The sequence below is a fragment of the Homo sapiens genome, chromosome 20 (genome assembly GCF_000001405.40).
Source record: "Homo sapiens chromosome 20, GRCh38.p14 Primary Assembly".
In the NCBI taxonomy this organism is placed as follows: Eukaryota; Metazoa; Chordata; class Mammalia; order Primates; family Hominidae; genus Homo; species Homo sapiens.
Genome location: NC_000020.11, coordinates 36,037,112 through 36,053,680, shown reverse-complemented (window position 1 = coordinate 36,053,680; position 16,569 = coordinate 36,037,112). Strand labels below are relative to the sequence as shown.

The 16,569-nt window shown below is 44.8% G+C and overlaps 1 long non-coding RNA gene across 1 annotated transcript, besides 4 other annotated features; it reads left to right on the top strand.

The window, feature by feature from the left end:
* Positions 2,473-3,044: an enhancer, noted in NCBI's record as "H3K27ac hESC enhancer chr20:34638559-34639130 (GRCh37/hg19 assembly coordinates)". NCBI's record gives its function as "activates a minimal SCP1, AML or CMV promoter by ChIP-STARR-seq in primed H9 embryonic stem cells {active_cell/tissue: H9 hESC(primed)}" and the evidence as "EXISTENCE:reporter gene assay evidence [ECO:0000049][PMID:30033119]".
* Positions 2,473-3,724: a biological region, named in NCBI's record as "MED14-independent group 3 enhancer GRCh37_chr20:34637879-34639078".
* Positions 2,525-3,724: an enhancer, noted in NCBI's record as "MED14-independent group 3 enhancer chr20:34637879-34639078 (GRCh37/hg19 assembly coordinates)". NCBI's record gives its function as "activates an origin of replication core promoter dependent on BRD2, BRD4, P300/CBP and CDK7 cofactors, and independent of MED14, by STARR-seq in HCT116 cells {active_cell/tissue: HCT116}" and the evidence as "EXISTENCE:reporter gene assay evidence [ECO:0000049][PMID:35650434]".
* NORAD (non-coding RNA activated by DNA damage) lies at positions 2,721-8,063 on the top strand. Its single transcript, NR_027451.1, has one exon. It is a non-coding gene; the product is annotated as a non-coding RNA activated by DNA damage (long non-coding RNA).
* Positions 2,776-2,985: a silencer, noted in NCBI's record as "silent region_12865". NCBI's record gives its function as "represses an Ori minimal core promoter by ATAC-STARR-seq in GM12878 lymphoblastoid cells {active_cell/tissue: GM12878}" and the evidence as "EXISTENCE:reporter gene assay evidence [ECO:0000049][PMID:35858748]".
* Positions 8,064-16,569: the final 8,506 nt, after the last annotated feature.

Here is a 16,569-nt window from a genome sequence, read left to right as displayed (position 1 = left end):
TCAGGTATTCAGCCCACTGGCTTCTTCTCTTGAAATGCTAGAAACACTCACTTCACCGGTTTTCTACTTCTGTGCAACTCTCCTGGCTCAGGGCCTTGTCATCTCATTGTGGACTAGAGCCCCTGGACTTCTCGCCACCTCTCCTGTCCACCTTCCACCAGCAAGGCCTTTCTGACTGCAGGATTTTCCTCCTGGGAATCATGTCTGAGTCTGCATCAAGAGTCTTAATCCTTTGATCTTTCTTTACATTTCCAGAATTGTATCCAAAGGAACTCAGGGCCAGTGGTGGTAGCTCATGCTTGTACTCCCAGCACTTTGGGAAGCCGAGGCAGGTGGATCACCTGAGGTCAGGAGTTTGAAACCAGCCTGGCCAACACAGTGAAATCTCATCTATACTAAAAATACAAAAATTAGCTGGGCATGGTGGCACACGTTTGTAGTCCCAGCTACTTGGGAGGCTGAAGCAGGAGAATCATTTGAACTCAGGAGTTGGAGGTTGCAGTGGGCCGAGATGGCACCACTGCACTCCAGCCTGGATGACAGAGCGAGACCCTGTCTCAAACATAAATAAATAAATAAATAATTTTAAAAATAATAAAAATGCAGGCCAGGTGCGGTGGCTCACACCTGTAATCCCAGCACTTTGGGAGGCGAAGGTGGGTGGATCACCTGAGGTCACAAGTTCGAGACCAGCCTGACCAACAGGGTAAAACCCCGTCTCTACTAAAAATACAAAAAATTAGCCTGGCCTGGTGGCGAGTGCCTGTAATCCCAGCTACTTGGGAGGCTGAGGCAGGAGAATCACTTGAACCCAGGAGGTGGAGGTTGCAGTGAGTCAAGATCGCACCATTTCACTACAGCCTGGGCAACAGAGCAAGACTCTGCCTCAAAAAAAAAAAATAAAAATACAAATACAAACAAAGGAACTCAGAGGCTGGGGGCGGTGGCTCACGCCTGTAATCCCAGCACTTTGGGAGGCCAAGGCAGGTGGATCACGAGGTCAGAAGTTCGAGACCAGCCTGGCCAACATGGTGAAACCCCCGTCTCTACTCAAAAATACAAAAATTAGCTGGGCGCGGTGGCGGGCGCCTATAATCCCAGCTACTCGTGAGGCTGAGGTAGGAGAATCACTTCAACCTGGGAGGTGGAGGTTGTAGTGAGCCAAGATCGCGCCACTGCACTCTAGACTAGGTGACAGCGCAAGACTCCATCTAAAACAAAAAACAAAAAAACCCAAAGGAATTCAGAAGTCTACACAAAATGTGAAAATTCACGAGGAAGTTCATCACAGCATTAATTCTAAAAGCTGGAAGTGTCATTTCCAACCTTATCTTAATTGACACATCAGCAGCATTTGACACTGTTGATAAATTCCCCTTGAAACACTTTCCTCATTTACTTCCAGGACACCACACTCTCCTGGTTGTTCTCCTACCACCCTGGTCGCTTCTCAGTCTCCTTTGCTGGTTCCTTCTCATTCCCTGACCTGTAAACGTTACCCAGGGATCAGACCTCAGACCTTGTCCCTCTCTTGGTTCTCTCATGCAGCCTCAAGGTTTTAAAGACATCTATATGCTGACGACTCCCAAAGATTCATCTCCAGTTCAAACCTTTCCCTGAATGCCAGACTCATAAATCCATCTGTCTGCTTGACATTTCCACTTGAATGTCAAACAGACATCTCAAACTTAACATGCCTAAAACTCAGCTCCTGGTGTTCTCCCCAAAGCTTGCTCCTCCCATGGTTTCTTCCATCTCACTTAAGGCGGCTGCCTTTTCATTTGCTCAGGCCAAAAAGTGTGGAGTCATCTTTCAGTTCTCGCTCTCCCACTTCACATCTGGTCCGTCAGCAAATCTTATAGACTTGAGCTTATGTCAACCCCTGAATTCAACCACTTTTTGCCCCCTTTGCTGTCGTCGCCCTGGCATAAGTCCCTATCATAGCTCACCTGCTTGATTGCAACAGTCAGTTATCAGGTCTCCCTGCTTCTGCCCCTGCCTCCACTTCAGCTCTCCCGCACTGCAGTTCAACTCCCTCCCATGGTCCCATTTCTCTCCTCTCTTCCCCAGCCTCTTTGCTGTTCCTGGAACAGGCCTGGCCCACATGCTTCGGCTTTGTGGCCTGTGCATAAGCTGTTCCCCTACAGACATCTCCAAGCATGGCTCATCCCCTCGCCTCCTTCGGGTCTCTGCTCCAGAGTCACCTGGCCGTACTATAAAGCATTCCGCACCTGCACTTCATATTCCTCTTTCCTTTTTATGTTTCCAAAGCACTTTCGCTATCTACCCTTTTATGCATTTTAAGGATCTTGTTTATTGTTGTTTCCCTTACTAGAATGTAAATTTTAGGAGAGCAGAAATTTTCCTGTGTTTTTTTCTTTACTGCTGCACTCCCCCGTGCTTAGAGGCACATAGGTGCTCGGTAAACAGGTGGTAAATGAGTCAATAAATGAAATATTGGAGTCTTCTTATCCAGCACCGGAGGAGTAAGGAGATAGAGAAGCAACGTTTGCTCAGGGAATTCTGAGGCCAGTAGCAATTTCCGTTGCGAAGAGCAAGCGGGGTGGAGGGGGCCCTAACCCCACGTGACCACACCCCATTCCCCATTCCCCACCCCCACGCCGGAACATTGCAGACCCGGAACCACGGCTCGCGGGCCCCCAGCGCAAGGGCACTTCCGGTACCGCTCCTCTCTTGCCAGCGCAGAGAACTGCCAAGTCAGTTCCGGTCCGGCAGAGATCGCGGAGAGACGCAGAACGCAGCCCGCTCCTCCAGGGCCCTCCAGGCCCTCCGGCCCCGGGCCGGCGGGTGAACTGGGGGGCCCCGGGACAGGCCGAGCCCTCTGCCCTGCAGATAACGGAGGCCTCTGCTGTGGCTGCCCACTGGCTGTGCCCGCCCACTGGCTGTGCCCAGACCTTGAAGCCGCAGCGAACCTCTCTTTCCCACCCCACCTCGGTGACTAATGGCGGCCGTGGCGTCTCCCAGCCCGGACCCCGCCGGCACCCGGGTCTCCCGACCCAAGCCTCGACGAAACCCCCGCAGAGCCGCCGGGACGCAGCGCCTTTGGGCGGCGCTGGGCGTGGTGGGCCGGGAAGTATGGCGGCAGCTCGAACGCCGCGCGGCGGAGGCCATTAAGGCGTGGACGGCCCGGGAAGGCGGCCTAGGGACGCAAGCAGGCTCGGCCGCCTCTTTAGGCCACGGAGCCGCGCAGATCCGGTTCCCGGGTGACCACTCTGTCGCCATTGGGCGAGACCTACCTAGTCCTGACGACAACGGACAAAGGCCTTAAGGGGCCTGGAAGGTGAGCGAAGTCCCGAACGACGACGGGTGGAACGGTTAGCGGCCATCGGGCGGTTGGTCTTCATTCTACCAGACTTTGCTGTCGGAAGAGAGAAATGGTAGAATGACAGGCCACGTTTGGCCCGTTGGAAATGCCCACCACCCTCTGGGAAGATTTACTGGCCGTTTATGGAAGGCCTGTGTATATAATATGAAAAAGCTGCTCTCAACTCCACCCCAACCTTTTAATAGAAAACATTTGTCACATCTAGCCCTTCTAGATGGAAAGAGGTTGCCGACGTATGATAAAATAGAGTTAGAAAGTTACACATCTTGTAAATTCTCATTTGTTTAAAAGAAATCATAGAAAATACATGTCTTCTGGAGATGACTTTTGGAAATGGAGTTGTTAAGACGGCCTCTGGAAGCGATACGTCCACGTTTGTTAAGTGGGTTAGATGACATGGAGCTGGAAGACCTGAGAAGGAAGAGAAGAAGGTTCTATGCTAGACTGGTCATATTTAGAAGACATTTTCATATTCTATCCATTGTTTTGTGTGCATTTTATTCCTCACTACTGTGTATATAGTTGACAATGCTAAGCTTTTTTGAAATGTCTCTTCTTTTTAGATGTTCTGAAGTGCCTGATATGTTAAAATTAGAGGTAGCAAAATCACATTTTGTAAATACCTTTTTGTTACAATTCATAGGAAATATTTTTGGGGGGGAATGGCCAAATCACCTGTTGAGTAATACTCATTGTGTTTGTGCAGTGGTTCAGGGGAGGAGAGAGGAGGGGGAGGTGCAGAGAGCTCTATGCCATCCTGTTTACAGCGAGGCAAGATGAATCATTATGTCTGTGCATTTTGTTTTACTTATCTGTGTATATAGTGTACATAAAGGACAGACGAGTCCTAATTGACAACATCTAGTCTTTCTGGATGTTAAAGAGGTTGCCAGTGTATGACAAAAGTAGAGTTAGTAAACTAATATATTTTGTACATTTTGTTTTACAAGTCCTAGGAAAGATTGTCTTCTGAAAATTTGATGTCTTCTGGGTTGATGGAGATGGGAAGGGTTCTAGGCCAGAATGTTCACATTTGGAAGACTCTTTCAAATTATAACTGTTGTTACATGTTTGCAGTTTATTCAAGACTGCTGTATACATAGTAGACAAATTAACTCCTTACTTGAAACATCTAGTCTATCTAGATGTTTAGAAGTGCCCGATGTATGTTAAATGTATAGGTAGTAAAATACCACTTTGTAAATATCTTTTTGCTAAAATTCATAGGAAATGCTTTTGGAAATTGAATTGTGAAGCCACCTTTGTGAACAGTATAGTAATGTCTATACTTGTTCAATAGTTTAGAGGAGGTAGGAGGGAAGAAATTGCAAAAGGTAATATTACTAGTGTGTTCATACTTGGACATTTTCAGACACCATTTTTCTATATGTTTTGTGCATTTTGTTTTGCTCTGTATATAGTATATATAATGGACAAATAGTCCTAATTTTTCAACATCTAGTCTCTAGATGTTAAAGAGGTTGCCAGTGTATGACAAAGGAGTAAAATTAGCATATTTTGTACACTTTGTGTTGAAATTCGTAGGAAAACTTGTCTTCTGTAAAGACTTTTGCATAGGAATTTGTTTGACCATCTCTAAGCATTACACGTGCCTGTACTTGTCCACTGGATTGAAGGCAGAGAAGGAAGGGAGGAGGGAATGATTCAAGGCCAAAATGGCCACATTTAGAAGATACCTCAGATGATAACCATTGTTATGTGTGTGCAATTTTATTTAACAGTGCTGTGTATGTGGTGGACAAGTTATATGAAATATCTAGTCTTTCTAGATATTTGGAAGTGCTTGATGTATTTAAAAGTGGTAGTAGAATAACACTTTGTAAATAGCTTTTAAAAACTGATGGGAAATGCTGTTTGGAAGTGGAATTGTTGAACCACCTGGGAGGTGGGAGGGAAGAAATTGCAAATGGTGTTTTGCCATTGTTTATTAGAAAATTTCAGCTTAATCCATTGTGTATATGTTACATGCATTTCATTTAACTTTGCTATACTGTATATATTGTATATATAACGGACAAATTAGTCCCGATTTTATAATATCTAGTCTCTAGATATTAAAGAGGTTGCCAATGTATGACAGAAGTAGAGTTAGTAAACTAACACATTTTGTACACTTTGTTAAAATTTGTAGAAAGGCTGTCTTCTGAAAAGGACTTTTGGAAGTGAGATAACATCAGCTCTAAGTGACACGTGCCTATATCCATCAGGTTGGTGGTGGAGAGGAGTTGGAAGGAATGAAGGGTTCTAGACCAGAATGTTCGTATTTAGAAGACACTATCAGATATAACCATTGTTACATGTGTGTAGTTTATTCAACCCTACTGTGTATATAGCGGACAAACTTAAGTCCTTATTTGAAACATCTAGTCTTTCTAGATGTTTAGAAGTGCACAAAGTATGTTAAAAGTAGAGGTAGTAAATAACACATTTTGTAGCTATCCTTTTGATATGAAATATTGTCTTGGAAATTGATCAATTCTCTGAGCAGTACCCATTTTGATATTTGTGCTGGTTCAGGGGGAAGGAGGAGCACAAAGTGCAAAGGGCTTTCTACCAGTGTCCAGTGTGTTTATGAGGAGGCACATTGACCATTGTCCCTTATGTCTGCATTTTCATTTACTGTGCTGTGTATATAGTGTATATAAGCGGACATAGGAGTCCTAATTTACGTCTAGTCGATGTTAAAAAGGTTGCCAGTATATGACAAAAGTAGAATTAGTAAACTACTACATTGAGTACACTTTGTGTTAAAATTCATAGGGAAGACTTCTTAAAAACAAGTGAAATTGTTAAAACCCCCCCTAAGCATTACAGATGGCTTATAGCTGTCCACGGGGTTGGTAGAGGTGGGAAAGGGAAGGGTTCTAGGCCAGAATGTTCCTATTTAGAAGACACTCAAATTACAGTCTGTGTTATGTATGTATACCATTTATTCAATGCTACTGTGTATATAATGGAAAACTTAAGTCCAGTTTGAAACATCTAGTCTTTCTAGGTGTTTAAAAGTGTACAACGGCCTGTCGCAGTGGCGCATGCCTGTAATCCCAGCACTTTGGGAGGCCGAGGCAGGCGGATCACGAGGTCAAGAGATCAGGACCATCTTGGCCAACATGGTGAAACCCCATCTTTACTAAAAATACAAAAATTAGCTGGTCGTGGTGGTGCCCACCTGTAGCCCCAGTTACTCGAGAGGCTGAGGCAGGAGAATCGCTTGAACTTGGGAGGCGGAAGTTGCAGTGAGCCAAGATCGCACCACTGCACTCCAGCCTGGCGACAGAGCGAGGCTCCGTTTCAAAAAAAAAAGTGCACAATGTAGGTTAACAGTAGAGGGCTTAAGTAACACCCCTCTAAGCATTTGTTTTCAGTACTTCCTAGGAGTGGTTGCATTTGGGAATGGAATTGTTAAAACTTGATGCTTAGGAGCGAATGCAGACTATTCATTGGGTGTTTGGGGTGGGGGAAGGGGGGGTGGGCAGAGGAGGTATGCAGGGAGAGGGGTTCTGTGCTCCTGAGATTAGTTCAGATGGTCTAACCATTGTTCTATATGTGCATTTTAGTTAATATTGTGTATTAAAGGATAAGTCTTAATGCTCAAAGTATGTTAAAAATAGATGTAGTAAATCAGTCCCTTTGTGAATGTCCTTTTGTTAGTTTTTAGGAAGGCCTGTCCTCTGGGAGTGACCTTTATTAGTCCACCCCTTGGAGCTAGACATCCTGTACTTAGTCACGGGGATGGTGGAAGAGGGAGAAGAGGAAGGGTGAAGGGAAGGGCTCTTTGCTAGTATCTCCATATCTAGACGATGGTTTTAGATGATAACCACAGGTCTACAAGAGCGTTTTTAGTAAAGTGCCTGTGTTCATTGTGGACAAAGTTATTATTTTGCAACATCTAAGCTTTACGAATGGGGTGACAACTTATGATAAAAACTAGAGCTAGTGAATTAGCCTATTTGTAAATACCTTTGTTATAATTGATAGGATACATCTTGGACATGGAATTGTTAAGCCACCTCTGAGCAGTGTATGTCAGGACTTGTTCATTAGGTTGGCAGCAGAGGGGCAGAAGGAATTATACAGGTAGAGATGTATGCAGATGTGTCCATATATGTCCATATTTACATTTTGATAGCCATTGATGTATGCATCTCTTGGCTGTACTATAAGAACACATTAATTCAATGGAAATACACTTTGCTAATATTTTAATGGTATAGATCTGCTAATGAATTCTCTTAAAAACATACTGTATTCTGTTGCTGTGTGTTTCATTTTAAATTGAGCATTAAGGGAATGCAGCATTTAAATCAGAACTCTGCCAATGCTTTTATCTAGAGGCGTGTTGCCATTTTTGTCTTATATGAAATTTCTGTCCCAAGAAAGGCAGGATTACATCTTTTTTTTTTTTTTTAGCAGTTTGAGTTGGTGTAGTGTATTCTTGGTTATCAGAATACTCATATAGCTTTGGGATTTTGAATTGGTAAATATTCATGATGTGTGAAAAATCATGATACATACTGTACAGTCTCAGTCCCATAAAATTGGATGTTGTGCCTACACACAGGATCTAGAAGAATATGTCAAACTATAAACTGCTTGTGATTGTGAATGACTTTGTTCTTTGCTTGTGTTTTTCAATTTCCTATAATGCACATACTAACTTTTAAAAAATAAAGGTTATTTTAAAAGCCTGTATTAAGCCCTCGTTGCTTGTAGAATAGAGTTAGTATACGCTACAGAAGCACAGGTTCATGCTCCTTCATGCTTGGGCTCTGAGGTATCTGGAATTTCTCATCTTTGACTCCTCCCTCCATTGCCTGGGTGTTAGCCACTGCCACCCAGGTGCTCTGCTGTTCAGGATAACCTTGCACTTTACAGGTTCTGTGGTTTGCTCAAGCCATTCCTTCTGCCTGTAATGCCCTTTCCACAGTTTCACTTGGCAAAATCATTCTTCAGAGCCCAACTTAAATTCAGTATCTCCACAAAGTCTTGCCTGTAAGAACCTGACACTCCCGAGTGCCAGAACTGAACGTCAGAAGATACGGCCTTTTTTTTGAGATGGCGTCTCACTATGTCACTCAGGCTGGAGTGTGGTGGTGCCATCTTTGCTCACTGCAACCTCTGCCTCCCAAGTAGCTGGGATTACAAGCATGCGCCACCACGCCCAGCTAATTTTTTGTATTTTTAGTAGAGACGGGGTTTCACCATGTTGGCCAGGCTAGTCTCAAACTGACCTCAAGTGATCCGCCCGCCTCAGCCTCCCAAAGTGCTGGGATTACAGGCGTGAGCCACCACCCCCGGCCGATACGGCCTTTCTTTTGCTGCCCCTCCTTGTTCCTCTTGTATATGGATGGAGCCCACTTGCATCGTAATTGTTACCTGAAAGCCTACTTGGATTGAGCTAAGGTTTAAATAATTTCTGCAACAACGGTGCAACGTAATGCCTGACACACAGCAGGTGCTTGGAAATGTCTGTTGAATACAACAGACGAAAGCCTTTCAGACTGCTGCTTGGTGTGACATCACTAGTAAGGGCACTGATTGAATAATCAAGCATTTCCAGGCTGGAAGTTGCTATCGTGGCTGACCAAACCAGAGGGCATCGGTCAGATGCAGCATAACCTATCCCCAAATCAGGCACAGCAAACATTCTCTAATGGCATATAGAGAATATGACTATAGAGGGTTCTTATTCTCAACTTTGACGTGAGGCTAATGAGACACTGGCCTCCGGATGTGGGACGGTAGTGTCTCTGTTTCCCCAGATGCTGATGGTGTAACCTGGGTGGGTTGGGAGCCTTAGGGCAGGTAGACGAGGCCTTTCCAATTGCCTTCCCAACCCGGTATCAGGCCTGGACCCAATCTTTCCTGTTGATGCTCCTCTATGAGACAGGTCTTAGCTGACCAAGATGGGCTTCAGGGAGGCACATATTCCTTGAATCCCTGGCGTGGAGGGAACAAACCACGTGTCCCCCCAGGTCCATGCACTTCGACAAGTCATTTCAGGATGGGATTGGTTTGTAAGCTGGAGATAAAAGCTGAAGCAGGACCTCTTCTGTAATTTAAGGTGGATTCACCCATAAAAGTCTCCAGGAAGGTAAGGCGCATCAAGAGCCAGGAGCTAAGGTCAACTCTCAGGCAGTCCTGGACCCCCAGGGCAAAGATAACCCTCAGTGGCCGCAAGAGGGAAGTGAGGTCCAGAGAGGGCCAGGCCCTGCTGGGAGCAGACCGCTTAGCTAGCAATATGTATTGCCATGCAGAGAACACTGGACAGGAGGTCAGGGGCCTCAGCTCGTGTCTAAGCTCTGTCACTGGCTGCGGACTTGGCCAATGGACCACATCTAGGCCTCAGTCTCCTCAGTAAAATGAATGGTTTGTTCTGCCTCTTCAGATCAGATGCTGGGCCTTTCAAAGCCATGAGTTTCATCGGGGGTAAAGCCAGGGCCAGAAGCTTCTAAACATGGTTCTTTACTAAAAGGAACCATGGGCCTTGGAGAAATGGCTAATTCCAGGGCTGCAGCAAAGAAAGTACAAGATCATCTTGAAATATCCTGTTATGGCAGGAATCAAGACAGTGCTCCAAGAATGACGGGGACATATCAAAAGGACACAGAAGCCAGCTTGAAGTGGCTTCCATTGGCCAAATCTGTCACAATTTGAGCATCAAAATGTAGAATGACTCATATAATGCAAATGATAGCACACTGAATAAAACAGGAAGCCATGAGTCCAATTCTGATAGAAATAAAGAAATGGCCTGTATTCCCAGCTATTCTGGAGGCTTTGGTGGGAGGATCACTTGAACCGAGGAGGTCAAAACTCTACTTCATCCTGGGCAATAGAGTGAGACTTTCTAGAAAACAAAAATCAGGCCGGGCACAGTGGCTCAGACCTGTAATCCCAACACTTTGGGAGGCTGAGGCAGGCGAATCATTTGAGGTGAGGAGTTCAAGACCAGCCTGGCCAACATGGTGAAACCCCATCTCTACTAAAAATACAAAAATTAGCCAGGTGTGGTGGTGGGCGCCTGTAATCTCAGCTACTAGGGAGGCTGAGGCACAAGAATTGCTTGAACCCAGGAGGCAGAGGTTTCAGTGAGCTGAGATCATGCCACTGTACTCCAGCCTGGGCAACAGAACAAGACCCTGTCTCAAAAAAAAAAAAAAAAAAAAAAAAACAAAGAAAAAAAGAAAACAAAAATAAAAACAAGTGTTGGCAAGGATGTGAATAAACTGGGACCCCTATGCACTGTTAGTGGAATTGTAAAATGGTGCAACTGCAATGGAAAACAGTAGGACAGTTCCTCAAAAAATTAAAAATAGAACTACCGTATGATCCAGCAATGCCACTTTCAAGTCATACCTTGATATACTGGGGGATTGGCTCCAGAATCCCTGGGTATACCCAAATCCGTACATACTCAAGTCCTGCTACAGAACCTGTATATATGAAAAGTTGGCTCTCCCTGTCTGCAGTTTGGCATCCCACCACTGCATTTGACTGAAAAAAAAGCCACATATAAGTGGGGCCACACAGTTCAAACTCATGTTGTTCAAGGTTCAACTGCATATCCAAAAGGACTGAAAGCAGGGTCTCAAAGAGATACAGTACATAAGTTGCTTAACCCTTGAAACTTCAATCTTATTTTTAAAATGGAGATAAATGTCAACCTTACATGCATGTGTGCTATGAAGTACCAAATACTGTCCCTAAGGTTTTGTTTGTTTGTTTGTTTGTTTGTTTTGACAGAGTCTCACTCTATTCTCTGTTGTCCAGTCTGGAGTGCAATGGTGTGATCTCAGCTCACTGCAACCTCCACCTCCCGGGTTCAAGTGACTCTCCTGCCTCAGCCTCCTGAGTAACTGGGATTAAAGGTGCCCGCCACCAAGCCCAGCTAATTTTTGTATTTGTAGTAGAGACAGGGTTTCACCATGTTGGCCAGACTGGTCTCGAACTCCTGACCTCATGATCCACCTGCCTCGGCCTCCCAAAGTGCTGGGATTACAGGCATGAGCCACCGTGCCTGTCCTGTCCTAAGTTTTTAATGTATATTAGGTCACTTCATCTTTAAATCCTTTTGCTGTAAACTGTTTAAAACCACACTCCTGAGATCCACCCCCAACTGTGCTTCCCTCACAGCCTTCCTTATCTCAGGAAGCAGCTTCCACTTGCTCAAAAAACATTTCTGGAGTAATTCTTGATTCTCTCCCATTCCTCACATTGAGTCCAACAGCAAGCCCTCTCAGTTCTGCCGTCAAAATATGGCCAGGATTGGTCCCATCTCAACACCACCACAACCACTCTGATCCAAGCCTCCATAATCTCCTACTTGGATCACTGCAGTGCCTTCCTCCCCGACGCCTTCCATGCTGGTGCTTCCCCAGTCTAGCCAGATTCTAGATCCTAGATCTCTGCTAAGAACCTTCCAAAAGCTCCCTTCACATGGTCATGATCTGGCCTCCACCCCCCTTCTTGCAACTTTTTTCTCCTTTGACTCCATTCTGGACATACTGGCCTCCTTGCTGTCACCTAGCCATGCCAAGCATGGAACATTCCTCTGCCCGGAACATTCTTGGCCTTGATATCTGCAGGGTTCACTCCCTCACTGGTGTACTCACCAATGTCATATTCTTCATAAAGTGTTCTCTAATGACCCTTCACAAAGTAGTAGCCTCCACCCCCTACCTACCCTGATTTTTCTTGTGCACTTCCTGTGCTCATCATCAATACAGAACATAAGCTCCTAGAGGCCAGGGACTTTGTTCCATCTTGTTTGGTGCTGTCTCTCTAAACCTAGACCATCTCCTCTCCCTAGGGCATGTGTGCTGGTTGGATTCTTCTAGGTTTTAGATTCAGTGATGCCAGCTCTCCTAGGCCTCCCTGTTTCATGGAGATGCCCAGGAGCCTGAAGGTGAGGGGACTGAGATGGACAGAAGACAAGCGCTGTTTGGAGGGAGGGGAGCAGGTAGCAGCCAATGGGCTCCAGGATGCTTCTCGCAGAGGGGGCAAACCCCATGAGCTGATGATCATCGAAGCTGATGAGGATGTGGATAATGGAGCAATGTGTGAATGCTGGTGAGAACTGTTTTTTGTTTGTTTGTTTTTTGAGACAGAGTCTCCCTCTGTCTGTCACCTAGGCTGGAGTGCAATGGCACGATCTCGGCCCACTGCAACCTCCACCTCCCAGGTTCAAGCGATTCTCCTGTCTCAGCCTCCTGAATAGCTGGGATTACAGGCACCTGCCATCATGCCCGGCTAATTTTTGTATTTTAGTAGAGACAGGGTTTCACCATGTTGAGCCATCAGAGAGCTCAAAGCCAGTTGTTTTGTTTTGTTTTTTTAACAGGCTCTATTTTCTATCGCAGTTTTAGGTTCATAGCAAAACTGAGTGGAAAGTACAGGGATTTCTCATATACTCCCTGTTCCCGACACATGCACAGCCCCCTGATTATCAATGTCCGCGACCAGAGTGGTACATTTGTTACAATTGAGGAACCAATACTGACACATTGTTATCACCCAGGGTCAGAGTTTACACCAGGGTTCACTCTGGGAAGTTTACATTCTATGGATTTGGACAAATGTATGATGACATGGGTTTACCATTAGTAGTAGTATTACAGGGTGTAGTTTCACTTCTGTAAAAATCATCTGTGCTATATCCATTCATCCTTCCCTCTCCTCAGCCCTTGGCAACGACTAATTTTGAAGACAACTCCATAGTTTTTGCCTTTCCATAGTGTCATATAACTGGACATACATCCAGTTTGTAGCCTTTTCAGATTGGCTTATTTCACTTAGTAATATGCATTTAAGGTTGCTCCATGTCTTTTCAAGAGTTGATAGCTCATTTCTTTTTAGTGCTGAATAATATCCCATTGTCTGGACATACCACAGTTTATTTATCCATTCACCTACTGAAAGACATCTTGGTTGCTTCCAAGTCTTAGCAACTACAAATAAAGTTGCCATAAACATTTATGTACGGGTTTTCATATGGATATGCTTTCAACTCCTTGTGTGGTAGGAGAATGTTTAATTTTATAAGAAACCACTGAACTGTCTTCCAAAGCAACTGTACCATTTTGTACTCCCACCAGCAATGAATGATGGTTCTTGGTCCACATCTTTGCCAGCATTTGGTGGTGTCAGTGTTCTGGATTTTGGCTATTCTAATAGGTGTGTGAAAGCCAGGTTTTGTAATTATGGCTAGAGCTTATACAAATCCATAGTGACTTCCTCCATTTTCTTCTTGGTCTCAATTGTCTAATTTCTTTTTGTTGTTGTTATTGTTTTTTGAGATGGAGTCTCGCTCTGTCACCCAGGCTGGAGTGCAGTGGCGCGATCTCTGCTCACTGCAAGCTCCGCCTCCCGGGTTCGTGCCATTCTCCTGCCTCAGCCTCCAGAGTACCTGGGACTACAGGCACCCGCCACCACACCCGGCTAATTTTTTGTATTTTTAGTAGAGACAGGGTTTCACCGTGTTAGCCAGGATGGTCTCGATCTCCTGACCTCGTGATCCACCCACCTTGGCCTCCCAAAGTGCTGGGATTACAGGCGTGAGCCAAAGCACCTGGCCCAATTGTCTAATTTCTAATAAATAATATGTTTCTCTTTTTATCCTGAATATCACGGAGCTTATCAATGATTTTTTTTTTATTTGAGACTGGGTCTGGCTCTGTCACCCAGGCTCACTGCAATCTCAGCTCACTGTAACCTCCACCTCCCAGGCTCAAGTGATCCTCCCTCCTCAGCCTCTTGAGTAGCTGGGACTACAGGTGCACACCACCACATCTGGCTAATTTTTGTATTTCTTTGTAGAGACAGGGTTTCATCATGTTGCCCAGGCTGGTCTTGAACTTCGAACTCAAGCAGTCTGCTCGCCTCAGCCTCTCAAAGTGCTGGGATTACAGGTGTGAGCCACCACACCCGGCCTCAACAAACTTAAAAATCAATTTTTATCTAATTATAAAGTCAACTAAAGCCAATATTTATGCATATCCATATTAGCTTCCTTCACTTTCTTCCTTTTTTCAGTTCTAATTTTTATTTTAAGATAACTTCACACTTAAAATTGCAAGAATGATAATGCCACTATGAAAAATATGGCAGTTCCTCAAAAAATTAAAAATGGAATTACCATAGGATCTAGCAATCCCACTTTTGGATATATAACCAAAAGAACTGAAAGCAGTGGTCTCAAAGATGCATTTGCACCAATGTTCATAACAACATTATTCACAATAGCCAAAAAGTAGAAGCAACCCAAGTGGCCATCGGTAGATGAATGGGTAAACAAAATATGGTATATACACATAAAATGGAATATTGTTTAGCCTTAAAAAGGAACGAAATTCTGACACATGCTACAACATAGGTGAACCTTGAGGACAGCATGCTAAGTAAATGAACCAGCCCCAGAAAGACAAATATTGTATGATTCCACTACTTTAGGTACCTAGGGTACTCAAATTCATAGAGACAGAAAGGAGAGAGGTAGTTGCCAGGGACTAGGGGGGAAGGAGTAATGGGGAGTCATTGTTTAATGGGTACAGAGTTTCATTTTTCCAAGATGAAAAGAGTTCTGGAGATGGATGGTGGTGATAGTTACATAACAATGAGAATACTTCATGCCACTCAACTATACACTTAAAAATGATGAAGATGATACATGTTATGCTATTCGTATTTTACCACAGTTAAACATATGTTTTTAATTTCAAGGATGGTTCAAAGAACTCCTAAGGCCAGGCGACGGCTTACAGCACTTTAAGAGGCTGAGGCAGTGGCTGGGCACGGTGGCTCACACCTGCAATCCCAGCACTTTGGGAGGCCAACGTGGTTCGATCACCTGAGGTCAGGAGTTCAAGACTAGCCTGACCAACATGGTGAAACCCCATCTCTACTAAAAATACAAAATTAGCCAGGCGTGGTGGCATATGCCTGTAATTCCAGGTACTCGGGAGGCTGAGGCAGGAGAAGCTCTTGAACCCAGGAGGCAGAGGCTGCAGTGAGCCAAGATCTGCCACTGCACTCTAGTCTTGGCAACAAGAGTGAAACTCTGTCTCAAAAAAAAAAAAAAAAAAAAAAAAAAAGAGGCTGAGGCAGGAGGATCACTTGAGCCCAGGAGTTTGAGACAGGCCTGAGCAAAACAGTGAGACCCCACCTCTGTTAAAAAAAAATTTTTTTTAAAAACAATTCCTAAGTACACTTCACGCAGACTGGCCAGTTGTTATTTGACTATATTTTCTTTGCCATTCTCTCTCTAAATGTACATATTATAATTTTCTAAATAATTTGGAAAGTAAATTGAAGAAATTATCTCTCTTAACTGCCAAGTACTGCAGTGTATATTTCCTAAGTACAAGGAGAGTCTCTTACGTAACAGTACAATTACAGACAGCAAGAAATACAATTACGGCCAGATATGGTGGCTCACACCTGTAATTCCAACACTTTGGGAGGCTGAAGCAGGCAGATCTCTTGAGCCCAGGAGTTCAAGACCAGCCTGGGCAACATGGTGAAACCCTGTCTCTACAAATAATAAAAAAATAAATTAGCCAGGCATTGTGGCACACCTGTAGTCCCAGCTACTCAGGAGACTGAAGTGGAAGGATCCCTTAAGCCCAGGAGGTCAAGGCTGCAATGAACCGTGATTGCACCACTGCACTCCAGAGTAGACAGAGTGAGACCCTATCTGGGAAAACATAACAAATAAATAAATAAATACTATTATCTCTCCCACAGTTCATTTTCACATGCCACCATGGGGTTCAATAATCCATTTTCTTTTTCTTTTTTTTTTTTTTTGAGACGGAGTTTGGCTCTTGTTGCCCAGGCTGTAGTGCAATGGCACAATCTCGACTCACCACAACCTCCACCTCCCGGGTTCAAGTGATTCTCCTGCCTCAGCCTCCCGAGTAGCTGGGATTACAGGCATGTGCCACCACGCCCGGTTAATTTTTGTATTTTTAGTAGAGACAGGGTTTCTCCATGTTGGTCAGGCTGGCCTTGAACTCCCGACCTCAGGTGATCTGCACACCTCGGCCTCCCAAAGTGCTGGGATTACAGGCATAAGCACTGCGCCCAGCCTCAATAATCCACTTTCTTGATCCTGACTTTCTGTTGGGGGTGGGTGGTTTTGGAAGTACGAGATAGGTGAGGACAAAACAAGAGAGGCGGGTGGGGCCCTGCTCAGCCCCTGG